We start from the raw sequence: 21,065 nt of genomic DNA on the forward strand, positions 1-21,065 counted from the left end.
GTTCTTCTATTTTCCATATGGAATCAATTCTTATAAGTACCAGGATCCCTGCTGGACATCCTAATTCTGTCAAGATTCTTCCTTCCCTTTCTGTCTCTGTCTCAGCACCGTCACCACCGTATTGCAGAAGGGAAGCTTGTAAGGCTCTGAAAGGATCCGTACAGCCAGCGACAAACAATGCCCTTTCAGAAAATGGAGTTTCTTTACTACTTACTTGAAGTTGTTCTTGGGATCTCTTTCTGCCCTTCTTGCTCCAGAGCTGGTTCATGGTGTCTCAATTCAGTTCATCCCCGTCCCCAACCCTGATATTTCTTCTAGTGCAGAATCAGTGACCCCTTCCCTGCCCTCACCCCTGGCGGGGGATGTGTAATGTTGAGAAGGAGGATGAGGTGAAACCACACGGTATAGAGCCGGGTGTATGGCTGGGAGGATTGACGATGTGGCTTCCAAATACCTACCCAAACGGGTGTCTTTTGGAGGACGACACTGCCTCTGGATAAATGATCTCTGGGTACACAGAGGAGGCATGCAGTGATTTGTGGTTACTATGAATAGAATTGCCCATGCAGGGCTAGCTCCTTGGGGTTCTGTACCCTGATTGAGGTCATGGTTAATCAGGGGTGCATTCTCTTTCATAATCCCTGGGGATCTTGCCTGGCATTTTTGTTTAGCTGGAGAAATATTGGCTTCGCTCTGGCCACAAATTTCCCACACTGGCGTGGCTCGGCGCTTTCTGGCTGCCTTGGAGATCCTGATGCCTGTGACTTTGCAGAATGCCCAGGAACTGCTCGCTCAGCTACTTTCACTCTCGCTCTAAAGATAATCGCCTCTAAAGCAAGGTAATGGACATGTTTTATCCCCAGCAATTCGGTTTGCCCTTCTGGGGTGCTTCTCAAAAGAACAGCCTCAGAGATGCTGACACGTGACTTCAGCTAACCAGCTTGTGTGGGTGTGATGTTTAATCATGCCTGTCTTTTTCTTATCTTTTCATTATACCTGCGAATGTCTGTTAGCCACATCCATTAGATGCATTTCTTCTCTTTTTTTTGTAAAAATCAAATCAACCCCTCCCTTCCATTGGATGAGGAGATAATTATCATCATTCACTGAAGGTCGACATTCTGTCTTGAATTATTTGTCTTTGGGCAAGAGCTTGAAAGAAGCATTGTAATTCCAACATATCTTCTTGATTAAATCTGGTTTTTAGAATGTCATAGAGTGTGATAAGAGGGTCTCATTTGTGTCCCAGGAGAAACTGATTCGTGCTTCCTTGGATGAGATGTTGAGCAAAAGGATGGTGAGATTGTAGGAGCAGAAAGAGGGATGGAGAAGAGACTAGAACATGGAAAATCAGGTCCACAAATACTGCTATGTCAGTAGAGAAATGGCCCCTCAAGATTGGCTCTGGGCACTCATACACATTTGTAACTTTTAAGTCATTTACTTTCAGATACAGTTTTGAGTATTCTTTGAACTACAGGTGTCACTGGAAATGATTCCCTCTGCTCAATATGGATTTGCATCTATGTTGATTTCATGTTGTTACCTACCTTATTAAATCCTGTGGGTGAACTCATTTTATTCTATAAGCCAAGATGCTGTCTTTTTTTTTCTATCATGGAACCAATATAAAAATTCCCTCTTTTTTTTTTTTTTTTTTGAGAGTGTCCTTAGTATACCCAGACCCCCCAACCCATTGAGGTCAGTAATTTTAATCTTAAGAGGAGATATTTTCTCATTTGTAAAATAGGGCTCCTGACTCAGTTTCTTGGGTCTCTTCCCAGAGATATTCTTTATTTATATACAGTGCTCCCCACTCATGCCCCCTGAATCTGCAACTTTACTTTCCACAGTTTTAGCGACTTTTGGTCAACTACAATCTGAAAACGTTAAATGGGAAATGCCAGAAATAAACAATTCCTAAATTTTAATTTGTGAGCTGTTCTGAGTGGCGTGATGAAATCTCCTACTGTCCCACTCTGTTCTTCCCATGACGTTAATCATCCTTCTTCCAGTGTATCCACAGTGTATACACCACCCATCCTAGCATCACTTAGGAGCCATCTCAGTGAGCAGGTCCACTGTCGAGGTATCGCAGGGCTTGTGTTCAAGTAACCATTATTTTCCTTGATAACAATCCCAAAGCATAAGAGTAGTGATGCTGGTGATTCAGATATGCCCAAGAGAAGCCATAAAGTGCTTCCTTTAAGTGAAAAGGTAAATGTTTATTCCAGGTATATATAGGAAAAAATAAATAGTATATATAGAATTTGGTACTATCCAAGGTTTCTGGCAACCAGTAGGGGTCTTGGAACATATCCCCCCATTGCAGATAAGGGAGAACTACCATAAACATGTATCTGCATGTATTTTTTTTATGTGGAAAGGAACATATCATGCATACTGTCTAGCCACCATACTTAACTTCGTTTTGACAATGTGTCTCTGAAGAGATTGTAGCCTGTCTGCACACAAGCCTGTACCTTGCGCTTTTGTCCTGATTGAATAGTGTTCCATTGTATAAATTATTATAATGTGTTTTCCGAGCCTCCTGTTAATCTAGATTGTCTCTGATAGGTTACTATTACTGACAGTGCTGCAGTGAGGATCCTTGCACACCCATCTTGGCATGTATGTATGAGTCCATCGGAAGGATACATTTCTGTAAATAGGATTGCTGGGTGAAAGGTATATTTGCTTTTGTTTTGATGAAAACAGTCATCTAGCGCATGAGCATGTCTGTTTGCCCCATCTCAAGGTTTTATGCCTTCTAGTTAAGCATCGGCTACTACATGTAGAGCTCAGGACACTGACCCATGCACGAAAGGTACATAAGTCAAAGTTACTAATTAACATGTATCTTAGTAGGAGTTTGGGGTATTTGTTCAGGATTGCTGATCTCATGGCTAGATTAGTGAACATTCACCCCAAGAGTGAAAGGCTCTGGAATTTAACCACAAGCTTAGGCTTTGAAGATATGGTATCTCCCACCCATCTCCCTCTGATGGCAGATTAACTAGGCGGTGGGCAGAACCAACCCTTCCACACGCCAGCCTGTCTTCCTTAGAGAGCACAAGTGCATTTGCCCAGAACATTCACACTTTCAGACCTGGAGATGAAACACAATTTTTTGGCAGCAAATCTCAAATAACATGTATTTAGGATTACAAAGTCACAGTTTTGCAACCAGAGGGCTTGGGAAGGAGTTGCTTAAAGCAAGAAAATTGCAATGCAGTTTTTACAAAAATTAAAGATATAAAGTCCATCTTCCCAAATTACATTCCACACATTTACTTCTCTACAAATGCCATTTGCACACAATATACCCAGTTTGCACTGAATTCCATTCCTTGCTTCTTTTTCCCTTCTTAGTCACACACTATCTGTGCGTGTCAAGACACTGTTGTATAAAACTGCTGTATAGAACTAGGTATTTTATTTTGTTTTGTCTTTGCTTTAAATTTTATACACTTTTTGGATTAGGTCATTGAATACTTATCCTGTTTTCATCTGAATTTTCTTGGGAGAGAAAATTTAAATATTTACCTTCATCTTAAAAAAAAAGAAAGAAAGAAACCAATCCAGATGACAGAAACTGAGAGGGACATGGTGGTTGCAGGTGTCCGTGTGTGCTGGGAATGCAGAAACATGCCTGGAGCAGTGGAGGCTGTGCTCTGGCTCTGCCAAACACCCTGTGGGCCTATTGAGATCCACCACCACCTAATGGAGGAATTGCCTTCTTTCCTTTTTTTCAGTAAGCTCTTCATTGAATGCTATGGTTTGAATGTTTGTATCCCTCCAAAATGCATATTTTGAAACCTGATCCCCAAGATGGTGGTATTAAGAGGTGGAGCCTTTGGGAAGCAATTAAGTCATGAAGGCATGAGTGGGATTAGTGCTCTTATAAAAAAGACCCGGCCTGGCGCAGTGGCTCACAGCTGTAATCCCAGCACTTTGGAAGGCCGAGGTGAGCAGATCTCCTGAGGTCAGGAGTTCGATACCAGCCTGGCCAACGTGGTGAAACCCCATCTCTACTAAAAATACAAAAAAATTAGCCGGGCATGGTGTTGCGCGCCTGTAATCCCAGCTACTCGGGAGGCTGAGACAGGAGAATCACTTGTACCTGGGAGGCAGAGGTTGCAGTGAGCTGAGATAGTGCCATTGCACTCCAGCCTGGGCAAGAAGAGTGAAACTCTGCCTCAAAAAAAAAAAAAAAAAAAACACCCCACACACACACTCAAAAACAACAGAGCTTGTTCACCCCTTCTACCATGTGAGTGGAGGCAGCAAGAAGGCACCATCTATGAGGAAGTGGTCCTCACCAGGCACCAAATCTGCTGGTGCCTTGATTGTGGACTTCCCAGCCTCCAGAACTTTGAGCAATAAATTTCTATTGTTTTTAAGTTACCTGGTCTAAGGTTTAGCAATCTGAAATGACTAAGGTCCTAAAGTATAATGTATAGAAATAATGTGTGAACAGCTTGATAAATTTTTACACAGTGAACATATCCCTAAAAACCTGCATCCAGATCAAGAAACAGAACACTACCAGCACCCCAGGAACAAGTGGCTACCTTTTGAGTCACTCTTCAGCCTCTGACGATCTTTAACAATGTTGACCTCTCTGAAGATAGATTAGTTTGCCTTTTTTTTTTTGAGTTTAACGTAATTGGAATGATATGGTGTATACTCTTTTGTGCCTAAGTTTCTTTTACTCAGTTTTATGTTCGTAACATTCATCCATGTTGTAGCAAATAATTATACCTGGTTAGTGTTCGCGGCTGTGTAGTATTCCATTACAGGAATACACCACTATTTATTCATTCTACTCTTGATGGATATAGGTTGTTTCTAGTTTCTGGCTATTACAAAGAATGTTGCTGTGAACATTTTTTACGTGTCTTTTGGAGAACATATGTACACATTTCTGCCAGGTATACACCTGGGGTGGAATTGCTGGGTTGTTAAATTTCCTTACTGGGGCCTATAAGACCAGGTCTTGCCTGCTGCTAGATTCTTGTCATCATTAATCATCATCTATATGCCAGGCACTATGTGAGGCATTGGGAATAGTAAGGAGCAGAAGCAGATGTGGTTTCTGCTTTTGTGCCAGCATTAATTAAGCAAACACCAAGGTAAGGTGGTGTGATTGCCATGGAGGTAAGTGCTGAAGAGGAAAGAGGCAGGATCCCAGGACAGCTTACTGTTAGGTTTTTTAAAGGGAAGGTGAGGGTTAAAGAAAAACAGAGAGAGAGTTGGCGGCCCTACAGCAAAACATAGGCTTTATGTCCAACATAAAACCTGCAGAGGTTGGGGGCCAGCTTAATGCCAGTGCCCACTGCTGCTTACAGGCTGGGGCAATTATAGGCCTGAGCAGGAGGGGTCTGGGGGGAGCATGGCCTGCTGCCTGGGAAAATGTTGATAACATGTTCCCACGATGAGGTGGTTTGGCCCTTGTTCTGGTGGAATGTGATGTTCCTTGCCCTTTCTCCCAGCAAAGTCAGGCAGTTGGTCAGGCTGTTTCTCACGGCCCGAACCCCCCGTGGAATGTTTCACTTTGACCAAGGTCTGTGAAATGACAGGGAGCTTACGAAACGGTGCAACTTGGACTAACACTTATGACATAGGAAGTGGATCTGGGCTGGGGGAGAGGGTGGCATGGAAGGGGGGCTTTCCTGAAACAGTGACACAGCTGAGATTGGAGGGATGAGGAGAGTATACCAGGGTACGGTGAGGGAGAAGCTTCCCAGGAAGCTGGAAGAGCACGCGGGGCATGTTCCTGGAGCTGAAGGAGTGCCAAGGTGCCAGAGCATGGAGGCGGGAATGGGGATAGAGGAGGTGGCGAGGCTGACATTGGGGTTGGGGCTGCAGCCTTTGTGCCTGTGATGGGAGCCCAGACCTATAGCTGTGAGGTGTGTTGGTCTGAGAACTCTCCAGATCTCGCCTTCCTTGCAGATTCGTATCACAGCAGAGCAGGAAGGGCCCATTCAGCTACAAGAATTAGTAGGAAGCATTTGAAATGGTCCACAGCTGCTCACAATCCTTAAGGGAGTTTATCTGTAACTGAGAGAGTATGGGGAGGTGTCTGGACAGTCAGGAAGTACCTGTCGCAGGTGGCATTTTCTGGCTGGGCACAGGATCAGATGGATGTCTTTCTGTCTGTTGACAGGTCCTCCTGAGGACCAAGGCCTGCATAGTCTGATTTATGCTATATGTATGTAACTACTTTAGTACAGTTGAGGGCTCTTGAAGTCATGCTGTGTTTTTAGGAAGATATTTGAGCAGGAGATCATGAAAATTTTGCAAGAATCTGCAATCTGGAAGAGTGTTGATTCAATATACATTCATTAGGTGCCCACTCTGGGTTACTGTGTCTCGCACTGTCCTGGACACTAGGGATTCAGCAGTGAACAAAAACAGACAAAATTCCCCAACCTCTTAATGTTTATATTCATCCAAAATTTTCTTTCAAAATGGATTGTTTTGATGAGCTGCCGGATCTCTTGACCCCTCAGAGAATTTTACATTAGGGAAAAGTGCTTGTGTGTAGGCATAAGAAAGAAAGAAAATCTAGGATTGGAAAGTTGGAAACCAGTTTTCTACAGCCTTCCAGAAAGAACTCAACTCGAGGACTGACGTGGTGGTGGAAGGCAGAGTGGCAGGGGAAAGAGCACCAGCATCAATGTGAACATTCTAGCTGGGACGCTTCCTTGTGGTACGACTTGGGGCAACTTTGATCTTCTAAATGGGTATTAATAGTTCCCACCTGCAGGACTGAACTGTGGAAATGCACTGAGATCCAGCAGTTCAAATCCCTGGCCTGAGTATTGGGTGATTGTTGCGGTCATGAAGGCATGAGGCTTCTGTGCGACCTGGGTGACTAACACAGCCCACAAGCAGTGAGGAAGCCACTCCCAGCGGCCCTGCCCGTCTGGGTCCTCCTGCCCTCACTGGGTGTTCCCAGCCCCACTATACTGTCTCCCTCTCCCTCCTTCTCCAAGTGCCCAGACCTGCTCCAGCTGCCCCTGATACTCAGCAATGCAGACTTGTCTGGAAACACGGACAACAAGGCAGCTTGGCATTTCCGAGCCAACTGCTGAGATGAAACAGGTTCATTGTCAAGGCCAGGGCCAGGGCAGGAAGTCTAGTTGGAGGCCCCAGGGTAGCTCGCCCCAGAGTTCTGAAAGAGCACTGTTTAGAATTTTGTAACCATCTGTTGGCTTGGGTATGTGTTTGATGGCTGTGGCTGTGGGTTGAGGTGGAGTAATGTTGACCTTGGAAGGTTAGGATGCTTTTGTTTCTGATGAGACCATCTAGTGTAGGTCAAAAGGACTGTGTCGGAGATAGAAAACAACATTTTTTTTAAGTTGGGTGTTTTTGAATCAGCCAAACCTTAATGCATTGGGCAGAAGTGGCCCCTGGGGTAGTACCAGCTTGGTCTGAGTGTTTCATGGGCAAGGGTGGGGGCTGGGAAGAGAAGCTTGCCCAAGGCCCTGCTGCAGAGGGAGGGGCAGGAGAGCTAGTGGGAGCCAGGTGTGTGGAGCTGCCTTTCACAGAACTGGGTTATGGACCCACCAGAGAGATGGAGCCCCTTCTCTCCTTCCCTTCCCCCATGTCTCCCTCTCCCACCAGGGCTTGGTAGGGGTGGGGAAAGCAAGTTTATGGCCACCTTGATGTTCACTGGAGTGGCCCGAGGACTCCTTTTTGAGTTAAAGTGACTTGTTTTCTTCTTACCTTTATTCATCCCCTTACTCAGTAGGATGGCAGCAGATATAACATCATTATGTGTGTGAAAACATACAAAGACACTCGTTCTAGGGGGTGTTGTCCAGCAGATGCATGGACGTCCATGTTAACTCTTGTGAGTACAGAAGAGGATGCAGAAGTTAGCTGGATCCAGATGCTGGATCTCCAACATCCTTGGAGATGTGTGGTGTTGGATGCTTCTGTCCAGGGTAACATGGCTCTCATTACCTGGGCTTCAGAGCCTTCTCTACCTTACCATCTGCATTTGTTTTTTCTTTTTGATTGGGTGGCATTCACCTGGGCTTTCCTTCACTTCCTGACGATTCAAGATGGCAATTCTCATCTCTGGTCAGGCTGAGCTTCTCTCAGCAGCTCCTGACATTTCCTCCAGCTTGTCTCACCTTCTCAGTTGTCTCCCATTCCCACCAGCACATCCTTTGACCTTATCTTCCATACCCTTCTGCACCTAGGACCTCTTCCACTCCTTCCCAGTCAAGAAGCACCTATGAATAAGCACAGGTATTCAATATTTGTTAGGGTGGATACAGGTAAAATAAGAAATCATCTGTAGAGGTGACGTAGAAAGCACAGATAATAGAGAAATAACAGGTATCTGCCTCTGTCATCTTTCCTGAGCTCCAGATGTCAGTATTTAGGGGACTGCAGCTGTTTCCACATTATATCTTCTGGCACCAACAACTTCATGTGTCCGAAGTTGAACTCATGCAAACTCAGCCTTTGTTTTCCACATGACTCCTCCATCAACTCAGAAAGTGAAAGAGACCCACAGGTCATCCTCAACTCCTTCCTTTCCCTCACCTCTACCCCATGTCCACTCACCAAGTTCTGCCAGCTTTCAGTCCTAAATTTTCCCCGAATCTCTATCTTCTCTCCAAGACTGCCCCACCAAGCCTTCTGCCATTTGTCAACTCACAACTCTGTGGCAGCCTGAAATTGTTTTCAATTCCCAGTAGCTATGTACCTGAGGGCTGCCCCCTGCCCCCCATCACCTGGCTTTGTCCTACTCTTTCACCAAGCCTGAGCTCAGACCTCACCTCCTCTAGGAACCCCTCCAGGACCAGAGTACATGACCCCCCTCCCTCCCCAGGAGAGCCCTGCAGTACCTCTTCCAGGATCCTGCTCCTCTAGAATGCCCACTTCCCACCCAGTGTGAGGATGATCAGTTTACGTGCCTGCCTCCCCATGGACGTACACTCCTCTAGGGCAGAACCCAAAAGCTGCTGAAATTATCTTTGCCCAGTTTGACAGAGGGAGGGAAATGTAGTGGACTGAAAGTTGAGACACCAGGTTCAGCCTGACCCCAGTGAGTGCTCCACCCTTTTTTGTAGATTAAATGAACCCAGAAGTTAGTTCATGATGTAGTTCCTGTAAAAAATAATAAATAAACCTAGGAGGAGCCTCAAAGTCCCTTCCTGACCTGATGTTCTGCGATTCTGCCAGAGGAATCTGCTCTCTCCAGCCTGACTTTTCTATCTACACCTCCTCATCAGAGGAGCCTTCTGCACTACTGCCCTCTCCCAAGTCAGGGGCTGGGGACAAGGAAGACTTTCACTTTTCAGTAGCTTCCTGAGCCATTTCTTTCTTAGCTCCCAGGCTGGAGGCCTTTTCCCAGGTCTCTAATGGACAAACTTTCCACACATGACTTAAGAGAAGAAGACACAGGACTTGGACTTGGACAGTTTTGCTGCATGAACCACTGAAGTCTCTGGAACCTTAGCAACATGGACCCCTGGACCTTGGTCTTGAGTGTGGGGCCTGTGACAGTCCCCTGGCAGTGTGCTCATCCTGGCCTTTTTCTGGAGCTACTAAAGGAAAGAAACCCAGTTGAACCCAGGATTTTTTTCTTTACCCCCGAACTTCTTTGTACAGAAGTTTCACTTTCTCATAACATGATTTCTTTCTTTTACAAAAGACAAAATAAAACAGAACCCAAACTTGACACACAAATCCAACCACTACTGCTACTGTTCAGGCAGCTGGTCTATATTTTAGTAGCTCACCTGTTTCAAAAGCACCTAGGTAGTAGCTGGGAGGCTCGGTTAGTATTTCAAACCCCCAAAAGCTGCACAAAGCAGAGGCTCGGGTTCTTGAGTAGAGGGCTGATGCTAGAAACATAAAGAGATTCATCTGCATCTTCTTCAACAGTGTGCCTCACCTCCAACTCTCACTGTGAAAGATCTGCTTTCTGCTGAGCATGGACCTGGGAGAGATGTGTTCCCCGGAAGGCGGCCCGGGCTGTCATCAAGTCAGTTGCACAGGGACAGTGTGAAGCCTTCTCACTGTGGCACGAGCCATCACTCTCAGAGCACCTCAAGCCTGGCAGGGTTCCGAAAACCTCAGGGTTTAATCACTCCCCTGTTTAAGGAACTCAGACACAATGTATTTTACAAATTATTTTTGAAAGGTTTATATGAAGTGTTAAATTTTATGAACTGTATATTTTACCAACAATGGAAAAAAAAGGCTTATGAGCTTAGAGGCTTTCACATTCATTATTTCACTTAATTCTCTAAACCTCCAATGGGGTAAATCAATTTCTGTTTTGCAGACCATTAGACCAAGGCACAGAGAGATTAAGTGGCTTGCCAAAAGGGGTAAGAGTTTTCATGGGCTAACTGGGGTTATTTTTTTCACAGTTCATCAAATGACAAGTTTAACGTGATATATCTTATTTTATGTTGCATGTGATAAATAGTTACACTTTTTATTTGTTAATTACTAGGTTTTAATGGTCAACTTTAGTCCAAAGCTTCTCCCTCTTCTCACCTTCTCCCAGCCTTCTGATTCAGTTTATACATACACACACACACACACACAACATACACAGAGGCACACACATGCATGCATGCATGCAATACCCACATTGTTCTTTTATATTATTATTATTTTTTGAGGTGGCATCTTGCTCTGTTGCCCAGGCTGGAGTGCAGTGGCACAAACTCAGCTCACTGCAACCTCTGCCTCCCAGTTCAAGCGATTCTCATGCCTCAGTCTCCTGAGTAGCTGGGACCACAGATGCGCACCATCACACCCGGCTAATTTTTGTATTTTTAGTAGAGATGGGGTTTCACCATGTTAGCCAGGCTGGTCTTGAACTGCTGACCTCAGGTGATCCGACTACCTCAGCTTCCCAGAGTGCTGGGATTACAGGTGTGAGCCACGGTGCCCAGCTGTCCTTTTATTTTTATTTGGTGTTCCTTGTTGGAAGAGATCAGCTTCTCTTCACTAGAGAAATTTTTCAGTGATCCTGGTGGGGGCTCCAGTCCCCTTTTCTTTAGGAAGAAATAGAGTAGAATGATTGGGAGTACAGTGACAGGGTGGTGTCACATTTCCTGAGTTTGAGCCTCAGCTCTTCCACTTGCTGGCTGTGTGGCACTGGGCAAACTCCTTCACCTCTCAGTGCCTCAGATACCTCTCTATACAGAGGAAATGCAAGCGGAAGTATAAGGAAGATCACACGAAATAGCGCCTGTCAATCACTGTCAAGCACAGTGCCTGGCACACAGTAGGTTTGCAGGATGCCTGTGGTTTCTGTCACCCTGATGTGACTCTCCTGGGGCCCTTGAAGGTAGCATTCCAGGCCCTCAGAATCTCCAGGGGAGTGACTGGGAGCTGTAGTTTCACCAGCACCGGGCTGATGCTTGTGGCTGGGAAACGCCACTACCAAGGTGATGAAAGGTGAAGGTGGGTTGATATATAAAATAAAAGAACTTGGAGGAAAGTTAATACCTTTGAACATTGGTTCCCAAAGTGTGGTCCTGCACCAGCAGCAATATCCACCTAGCAACTTGATGGAAACGCAGATTCTCAAACCTTCCTCCAGACTTACTGAACGGAAACTCTGGGGGTGGATGCTAGTGATATTGTGTTTGAACAAGCCCTCCAGGTGTGTCTGAGGCCTGCTGAAGTTTGCAAACCATACTTTAGAATGTGAAAGAGCCAGTCCCTATTTCATTTCAAATGAGTTTAGATGTATATTTAGCTACTGAAATAAGAAATCTAAAGATATGTACACTTGTACCAAGAAGACAAGGAAAGAAATCTGCTGATATGAAGACTCAGTTATATTTCGAACAAAGGCAATGAATCCATCTTGGTCCTTTGCTTGGCTCATGGTGAAACATAGCGGCCACCATGTGGGTCAAGAGGCTTGTGTTCAGGACAGCTGAAGGGATGGCCTTGACCTTACTGTCCTCCCAGCACCAAAAGGAGCCAAGAGCGAGAGGTTACTTCTGCCTCTCCGGAACTCCAGCACTTCCTCCCTGGGGGTGCTGGCATCTTTCTTATGCACTGTCACTCTCCTCGTGGTTACTGTTGTTTGGGTCAATGTTGTAAGCAGTTGCTTGAATACAAACCCTCTGCTTTTTCATCCCTGTTTCTCCTGGGCAAACCCAAATGTGACTGCAAAACATCTCCAAATAGAGTCCAGTTCTTCTAAGTGTCAAGGCTTGGCCCAGCCACTGCCTCTGCTGTAAAGACTTTCTAGCCTGAATACCACCATGGCAAGTCATAAGCCTTGTTCTTCCCCTCCTGTGCTCCACATCCCAGGGATTTGATCCCTGCAGGCTGCATTTCCAGGCGCCTGCTGGGTTTGAACAGTGCAAGCCTCTGGGGTGAGACTGCAGGGTGGTCGGAGAGGGATGCCAGGGTGGTTCTCCCCCTCCTCTGTGGCTGGCTGTCTGACAGTGGCTGGGGATCTTCCAGGGCTCTATTGCTACTCCTGTCCCCACTAGCTTTTGTGTACCTTCTTGTCTGTTTGATAAATTCTCTGGATTAAATTCTCCAAGGGATTTGGAGTGGTTTCTCTTTTCTTTATTGGGTCCTGACTAACTTAGCCCCTTGTCTTGCTTCCACTGGGAGTGGTCACTCAGCATTTGCATACGTATCTTCTCCAATAGCCATGAGCTTCTCAGGAGTAGCCGTCATATCCAATTCAATGTCACATCCTTAGTGCCTACTCCAGGAGCTGTCACTTTCAACATGCTTGGTGTTTGATGAATGAATGCGTGATAACATGTGAGGAGGGCTGAAAATGCAAAGGAAAATCAAAGTATGCCGTATATTCAAAATGCATGCAACAAGCAAGGTTTACCATATGGAAATAGCGATGTATGCCCTGCCTAGTAATCTAGTTTAAAATAGTAATAATAAACCTTAAGCTTGTCCACAGTACAGATTTTTTAAACAATAATTTGAGAATGTTCAAATCTGTTCCATTATAAGCCACCCCAGAACTTAATGATTTAGAACCCTTTATTATTTCTCATGATTCTGTGGGTTATGACTTGAGTTGCCTTCAGCTGTTCTTGCCTGGGCTCGCTCATCACCACGTTTGGTAGCGATTCGGCTGGAATTCATATGCGTGGGACCTCAGGAGAAATGGAGATTCTCTCTCCACTAGAATCTCATGCTGAAGGAGGCTGGTGCGGGCTTGTTCACAAAGTGGCAGTCTTCCAAGAGGGTGAGGGGCAAACTCTGAGGCCAATTGAGGTAGAGGCTTGGAAGTTACACAGCATCTCTTCCTGTGCATTCTGCTTCAAAGCAAGTCAAGAGCCCAGCCCAGATTCAAAGGATAGGGAAATAGACTCATGTCTTAATGGGAGGGGCTTCCAGGAATTTGTGGCCATATTTAATCCACTGTAGAGTGGTTATTCTCATTACGAAACATTCTTTATTACAACATTTAGTATGGCTGTACCTTAAGTAGAGCCTCCTGGAATAGATTTAAAAGGTTGCTCAACTGGTAAGACCCACAAATGGAGAGCTGCCACTGCTTTCCTTAGTTCTTTGTCTGACCACCAGATGGTGGCATTGCTCAGTCGACCCCGAGTATTTCAAGGCCGGCACCAAATTCCACCTGGAGATGCCCTTCAAGCTGTGGGAATTCTATGATTTTGCACAGCTGGATTGGGAGCAGGCAGTGCTACCTATGGAGAGGGTCTGGGATTAGGGTTGCAATGGGCATTGGATGCCTCTTTCTCCCTGACTCTTCTAGAACTGTTGTGGGAAATTTCTTCACCTCCCCAAATGGGGGACTGGAGTAAGATGCTGCAAATATCATCCCATCACAATGGACTCAATCATGAAGAAAAATATCGTTTGTAATAAAAAAATTGTTTGCATACTCATGAATTGTCTATCGAAATTACATTGTATTGATTTCATCCTAGTGATGTAAATAATTCTATACCACTTCTTTTTCTTTTTTCTACCCTCTGCACCATTATAGTTGTTTGTATAACAGTGTCTGCAAAAACTGATAACATTTGATTAAGGCCTGCAGTCTAGTCCATTGTATTGTGCCAGTGTCAATTTCCTGGTTTTGATCATGTAATATAGTGATATAAGATGTTATCATTGGGGAAGATAGGAGATAAGGACATAGACCTTTCTGTACTATTTTTGCAACTTCTTGCAAGTCTATAAGTATTTCAGAATAGAAAGTTAAAAAAATACCCTCACTAAAAATAACCTCCACCTGCTTGTGTATTACTGGTATTTGCATCATCATTTGGGAGAAAAGTTGAGCATTGATTTTAAAAACTCTTTTTTTGGGGGGGGGGGTCATTCTGGCAGGGTAGCACTGGCTTCTCAACCCCCTTCAGATCCACTGGCCACTTCCACAGATCCTGCCCAGGCTCAAAGCACCTGCTAGACTAGGTGATCAGTGGTGCAGAGACCTGGAGCCAAGGATGGGGAGAGACAGTCATTGCCACCTCCTTTCTTCCCTTTCTGGACTCAGAGATCCTCTGTCCCAAGTTTCTCCCTTATAGTCAGGGCTCTGCCCTTTACTACTCACTTTCTTGTTTGTTGTCTTAATCGTGGGTTACAATGCTTCTCTAAGACTAACAGGAAGACACTTTTATTTCCATTTTGTGAATAAGAAAACTAACACCCAGGGTTTGAGGTACTTGGCTGGGACCAAAAGTAAGTGATGCATCCAAGGCTAGAAGGTAGATTAAATGACTTTTTAATCTGGGTTTTCCTTGCTAATTTCTAAATACACTAAAAAGAGAAAACTTTTTAGAAAGTTTTCTTTCTGAAAGAGAAAGCCTTTTAGAAAGTTTTCTTTCTGAAAGAGAAAACTTTTTAGAAAGTTTTCTTTCTGCAAGAGAAAGCCTTTTAGAAAGTTTTCTTTCTGAAAGAGAAAACTTTTTAGAAAGTTTTCTTTCTGAAAGAGAAAACTTTTTCAAGTGAAGTAAAACTTCTTTGAAATATTACGTGTTTAAACTCCTAGGCTGTAATTTCATATGCTTTTATTTACTGTCTTGTTCTATTAAAATGCAACCTATAGCACCTTTTAATGTTCACACAGTGTTTGAAGTAGAGAAATGAAACTTTTATGAGTAAGTGGAGAAAGTAGTGTTAACTTTTTTTTTCATTAATGAGAAAACAATAGGCAGCAATGGGTTTAGGAGTTCTATGGCGAAAAGGCATTTCCTGAGATTGAATCAGTGGCAAAAGGAGAGCCTGTTATGTTTTGCTAACCAAAAGAATGTGGGAACATTTTAGCTAAAATGCAAGTTAAAACTGTGAAACATATAAATAAGCATTTGGTATGCTTTTCAGTTTCCACAACAGTAGTCAAGCCAGTGAGCCCTGTGGGGAGGGCTCATGGGCCCTGGACTCAAAGAGCTCAGAGTATGTCTACCTGGGGAACTAAACCAGTGTGCATGAAATGACCAGAGAGTGATATGGGGCAGATAGGGTTTCATGCCAGGGTGTGTACCATGGTTGTGTCTGGAAACAAGGGCTACCGAGGCCTGGATCACTCAGAGGAGGCATCAGGGAGAATGTACTGGACTTGGGCTCAATGTAGAGATGTAGGGGGTAGCTCTCTTTTGACTCCTAAAATTACAGTGAAAAACTGGGTTCTCGTAATCACACTTACGAGTTGTTGTGTCCCTGGACTAGTTATATCTTCTCTCTCTCTCTCTCTTTCTCTCTCTCTCGCTCTCTGTGTGTGTGACAAAATACTCATACCACAAAATTTACCATTTTGATTATTTTAAGGTACACAGTTCAGTGCCACTAAGTGCATTTACAATGCTGGGCAATCATCATGACTATTTAGTTCCAGGACCTTTTCATTACCCACAAAGGAGACCATGTGCCCATTAAGCAGTCACTCTCTCCTTGGCAACCACTTAATGTGGTTTTCGTCTTTATGGACTTGCCTACTGTGTGACACACAGTGTTTTGTGGTGGATGGGAAAATGTATGATATTTAGGCCTTACTCTCAAGGAGCTTACTAATTGGGAAGATGTAATCTGAGAACATGAAAAAGACAGTTACATCCTATGACCAACATCATGCTTGCTGGGAAAACCTTAGAAGCATTCCCAATTACAGTCAGAAATAAGATAAGAGATGCTAAATGTCACCGCTGTGATTCAGCATTGTGCTGAAGAACCTAGCCAATGCAGTAAGACAAGAAAAATAAATGAAGCACAAGGATGGAAAGTAAGAGACAAATTATTGTTATGTGGAGATGATATGGTTGTGTACTTTCAACGAGTTGCTTACCTCTTTTATTATATGTAATACTTTTGGAAATTCAGTGTCCATGTACAGAAAGCAATAGCATTTCTGCCGAACTACAGTAACCTATAGGAAATGTTATAGAAAAAAAGATACAGTTCACAATAACAATAAAACAATAGGGTACCTAGAAAAAAATTAAATAAAATATGCCTAGTTCTTTAATAGAAAAAATTATAAAACATAAAGTATATCATAAGTAGAATATGATATGTTCGTAGATAGGATAGCTCATTTGTGTAAAAGTGTCTCATTGAAGACAATTCCAATAAATATCCCAACAGGATTTATCTTGCAATTACAGAAACCAATTCTAAAATTGATTTGAAGAGTAAGGTACATCCACAGGTCTGATATGTCTAAAAAAGAATAAAAGGGTCAAGAAAGCAAATGAAAGAGCAGAGAAACAGGCCTAAGAATCACTGTGAATTTAATACTAGATAACAGTGCATGATGAATGAGTGGGAAAGGCTGAGCACATCATTGACTTATCTTGAGACAACTAGCTTTCTATAAAAAAAGATACTAGATCTGCATCTCACAACACATACCAAGATAAATCTCAGCTAAACCAGCATGTGAAAATCAAAATGTTAACACTGTCAGAAGCCAACCCCGGGAGAATATCTTTATGACCTGAGAGGTTAAAAAGAATTCCTTAGAAAGGATCCAAAAAACACAACTCAGAAGTGAAAAAAATGATAAATTTGACTAGGTTAAAGTATTATGATTTATAGGTGTATAATATAAGATTATGGCCTAGAAGTATACACATAGGTGTTGCCTCTGGACACAGAGTGAGGGGAGAGAATGGGACAGGGGACATCAGCTTTATCCATCATGTGAAAAATGATAAAAATGTTAACATTGGTTAATCCTGGTTGGTGGGGACACAAGGGCTTGTTACACTTAGAAATATTTCCATGTTTAAAAAATTTTTAAGACAACACAAAGCAACTACCAACCTCAGCATGAAAGGTGGAAACTATCGTTGTATAGGGGGAAATTGCCAAACCCAAAATCCTGATTGATCTTATCACTGCCATCAGCAAGCTGCGTCCATGGGTGAGGACCTTCCTCTCAGGGGCTGTGTGCTCTGGAAAACAAGAGGGTTGGACTGATTACTAGCTTAGGTCCTCCTCCCTTGCCAGCGCTCACATTTTCTCTTCTCTCTGTGGGGCAGGTTACAACTGCTAGAGGAGCAGAGAAGGAAGAACGCGTGGGGAAGAGCATCGTCACAAGCATTAAGTTCTATCCAAGCATGGGGAAATTGTTTTCATTGCATTCAATTCTTACTTACCCGACCTCTTAATTCATAGATGCTGCCTGATTTCTTTTAAGCTCTAGACCTTGCTGTTTTCCTTGACAGGGTGAAACTGGGTGTTCTGTAATGAAATGTGTGCTCCCTGACAAGTGGCAGAGATTCTGAATTTTCTGGGACTGACTAGGAGCATCATGCTGCTGACATCAGTGTACCTGCTTAATTGGGCTTCATTATTGGTCTGAAATCATGAGGCCTTTCAGGAGCCAAGAAATACACCTGGGTATGGTGGGGTGATGAAGGAAGGGTGCGATGGGTCTCTAAGGAGGTACCAGTGTTTTAAGCAAGGTGGTCATTTGTGGGCTGGTAATTTGAAAATGGGAGTTGTGGAATTCTGCTTTACCTGCAGACCTGCTGACCACTTCTGCCTGAGTTTTCTCATCTGCGAAGTGGGGCAGACTAGAGTGACGTAGGGCATGCTTTCCTTTTTGCCAGCAGAGAGAGGGCTTTGAAGGTAAGAGGAAGGTAGTGTGGTTTTCCACTGGGGCTACATACTTATAGCTATCACTGCTGTCAATCTAAGCAGGGAGTATAACCAATGTCTCCATCATCTTAAGTAATTTGTGTGTGCACAGATTCTTCAGACCTTACAGGATGTCTCTGTAAAACCTGTCTGGGTGCTAGATGACAAGAAAGTCTGAGTGGAAAGGCAAGGCCTTCTCTAAGGGCCCCTCTTTACCACAGGAATGAATTTTAAGAGACTGTGAGATAAAGTGACAAACATAAAAAGCCATGTTTATTCATCTCCACAGCATCATTTCACAAAGCCCCTAATTCTGTGATGACATACCACTCTCCAAAAAGATACTTTAAAGACCAAAGAAGATAAAAAACATGCCCCCCATGTCTTTTGCCTAAGTCACTATATTTCCTAAAAGAGAAATGACCCCAGTCCTTGCCTTTCCTACACATAAAATAATGTCTGACAAAATTCATAATTATGCCTCTATAATCTGTAACCAAATATGTTCTTGCACCTAAACCGTCATGGCAAGCACACTTTGGATAAATCATTTAACTTCATTAGACTTCAATTGCATCATCCATAAATGAGTTATAATAGTAATTTACTTGCCTTTAGACAGGGACTGGATGAAACCATTTTTGGAGAACCCATCTGTGGGTTTTTTTGTTAAATAACATCAAAGTTTATTGGGTAAAGGACCAATATTGTAAAATAGAAATTAAAAAAAACTCTATTGATGTTGGGTTTTGGGAAGGAACTTGGGGGAGATAGAGCAGATCCTCTGCTCAGGCACACTTTTTTTTTCTTTCTGAAAGACTGTTTTTTTTAGAGCAGGTTCACAGCAAAGTTGAGAGGAAAGTACAGAGATTTCCGATATACCCCCGCCTCCACACACACACAGCCTCCCCTATGGCCAACATCCCCCACCAGACTGGTACTTTTGTTACAATTGATGACCCTACATTGACTCATCATAAGACCCAAAGTCTGTCCTTTACACTGGGGTTCACTCTTAGTGGTGTACGTTCTGTGGGTCTGGACAAACGCATGATGACGTGTATCCATCATTATTGCACCATACAGAATAGTTTCACTGCTCTAAACACCCTCTGTGCTCCTCCTATATATCCCTTCTCCCCGCTAACCCCTGGCAATCACTGACCCTTTTACTGTCTCTATAGTTCTGCCTTTTCCAGAATGTCACATAGTTAAAATCATACAGTATATGGCCTTTTCAGACTGGCCTCTTTCACCTAGTAATGTGTATTTAAGTTTACTCCATGTGTTTTCATGACTTGATAGTTCATTTCCTTTTAGTGCTGAATAATATCCCATTGTCTGAATGTATTACAGTTTATTTAGCCATTCACCTGCTGAAAGACATCTTGGTTTCTTTCATGTTTTGGCAATTCTGAATAAAGCTGCTATAAACATCTGTGTGCAGGTTTTTGTGTGAACACATGTATGGATTTTTGATCTGCTAAACACTGAACTAAGAAGATTTCTGGATATAGATGTAGTTGAAAGGGATAAATATGTACTTATTTTTTTCCAATGATTTTTCATTGTAAAATATTGCATACACACCCAAAAATACTTAAGGCATCTATGCAAAGTTTAACAAATAAAGCAAACACCTATGTATCTATCACTGGGTCAATAAATGGGATGCCCCTGGCACCCAGAAGCCCTCGAGGGTCCCTCAGCCATCCCAGCCTCCTTCCTCACTTACACCTTTGTGTAATTTCCTTGCTTTTCTCTATAATTTTACCACTTGTGTTTCTATTATTTTGAGAGTTACATGCTCTATTCTAGAAATTATAATACATATATATTATATATTTATACATATATATATATATATATATATATATTTTTTTTTTTTTTATGAAGTCTCCCTCTGTTGCCCAGGCTGGAGTGCAGCAGTGAGATCTCGGCTCACTGCAACCTCTGCCTCCCGGGTTCAAGCAATTCTCCTGCCTCAGCCCCCTGAGTAGCTGGGATTGCAGGCGTGCGCCACCATACCCGGCTAATTTTTGTATTTTTAGTAGAGACGGGGTTTCACCATGTTGGTCAGGCTGGTCTCGAACTCCTGACCTTGTGATCCGCCTCGGCCTCCCAAAGTGCTGGGATTACAGGTGTGAGCCACCGTGCCTGGCGAAATTATAATATTTATACTGACAGTCTAAAGTTTATCAAAGCTTTCATTTCCCATAGAGTAACTCAAGGTCCTTGGAACACTCTAAAAATGTTTAACCACTCCCAACTTATTTTCTCTCATTGTTTTGTATTTTAATTCTATATTTTTAAAGAACACCAACAAAATATATTGTTCTACACAGTGGAAGTTCATTTGGATTTACTCATCATGCATCTGTCACTTTCTTTGCTCTTCATTCCTTTTTGTGTTTCCAGTCTTCCATCTGGGATCACTTTCTTTCTGCCTGAAATGTAATCTTTAGAATTTCCCTTGCTGGTGAGGAACTCTTTGCGTGCCTGAAAACTCCTGGATTTCACTTCACTGTGGCAGGGTATTTGTGGCAGTTGTCTTAGTTTTCACTGGTTGCTGTAACAAATTACCACAAACCTGGTGACTCAAAACGACACAAATTCATTCTCCTTTGATTCTGGAAGGCAGAAGCCCATCATCAGTTTCCCTGGGCTAAAGTCAAAGTGTCTGCAGAGCTGCGCTCCATCTGCAGGTTCTAGGGGGGAATCTTTTCTTTTCCCAGCATTGCGATGCTGCATTCCTTGCATTGCTTGATTCATGGCCCCCTTCTCCATCCTCAAAGACAGCAGCCATTGTAGCATCTCCAAATCTCTCTCCTGTCACATCACCTTCTCTGTGTCAAATCCCTCTTTGGCCTGTATAACACTTCTGACTGCACTTAGGGCCCACCCAAATCTACCCATCTAGGTTATGAGATCTAAATTCTGAGATCCTCAACTTAATCACACCTGCAAAGTCT

General features: G+C 43.4%; 1 protein-coding gene and 1 long non-coding RNA gene across 3 annotated transcripts in view; one reads left to right on the forward strand and one right to left on the reverse strand.

Annotated features, from left to right (window-relative positions):
* Positions 1-21,065, forward strand: part of RBM20 (RNA binding motif protein 20) — a 196,224-nt gene that overhangs the window by 89,732 nt on the left and 85,427 nt on the right. The gene's annotated exons all lie outside the window — the stretch shown is intronic.
* On the reverse strand, positions 12,718-17,337 carry LOC124902498 (uncharacterized). The gene is made up of 3 exons (XR_007062286.1): positions 17,275-17,337; positions 16,295-16,375; positions 12,718-12,793 (listed from the first exon to the last, which is right to left on the reverse strand). It is a non-coding gene; the product is annotated as an uncharacterized LOC124902498 (long non-coding RNA).

This window comes from Homo sapiens, chromosome 10 (assembly GCF_000001405.40).
Source record: "Homo sapiens chromosome 10, GRCh38.p14 Primary Assembly".
Classification (NCBI taxonomy): domain Eukaryota; kingdom Metazoa; phylum Chordata; class Mammalia; order Primates; family Hominidae; genus Homo; species Homo sapiens.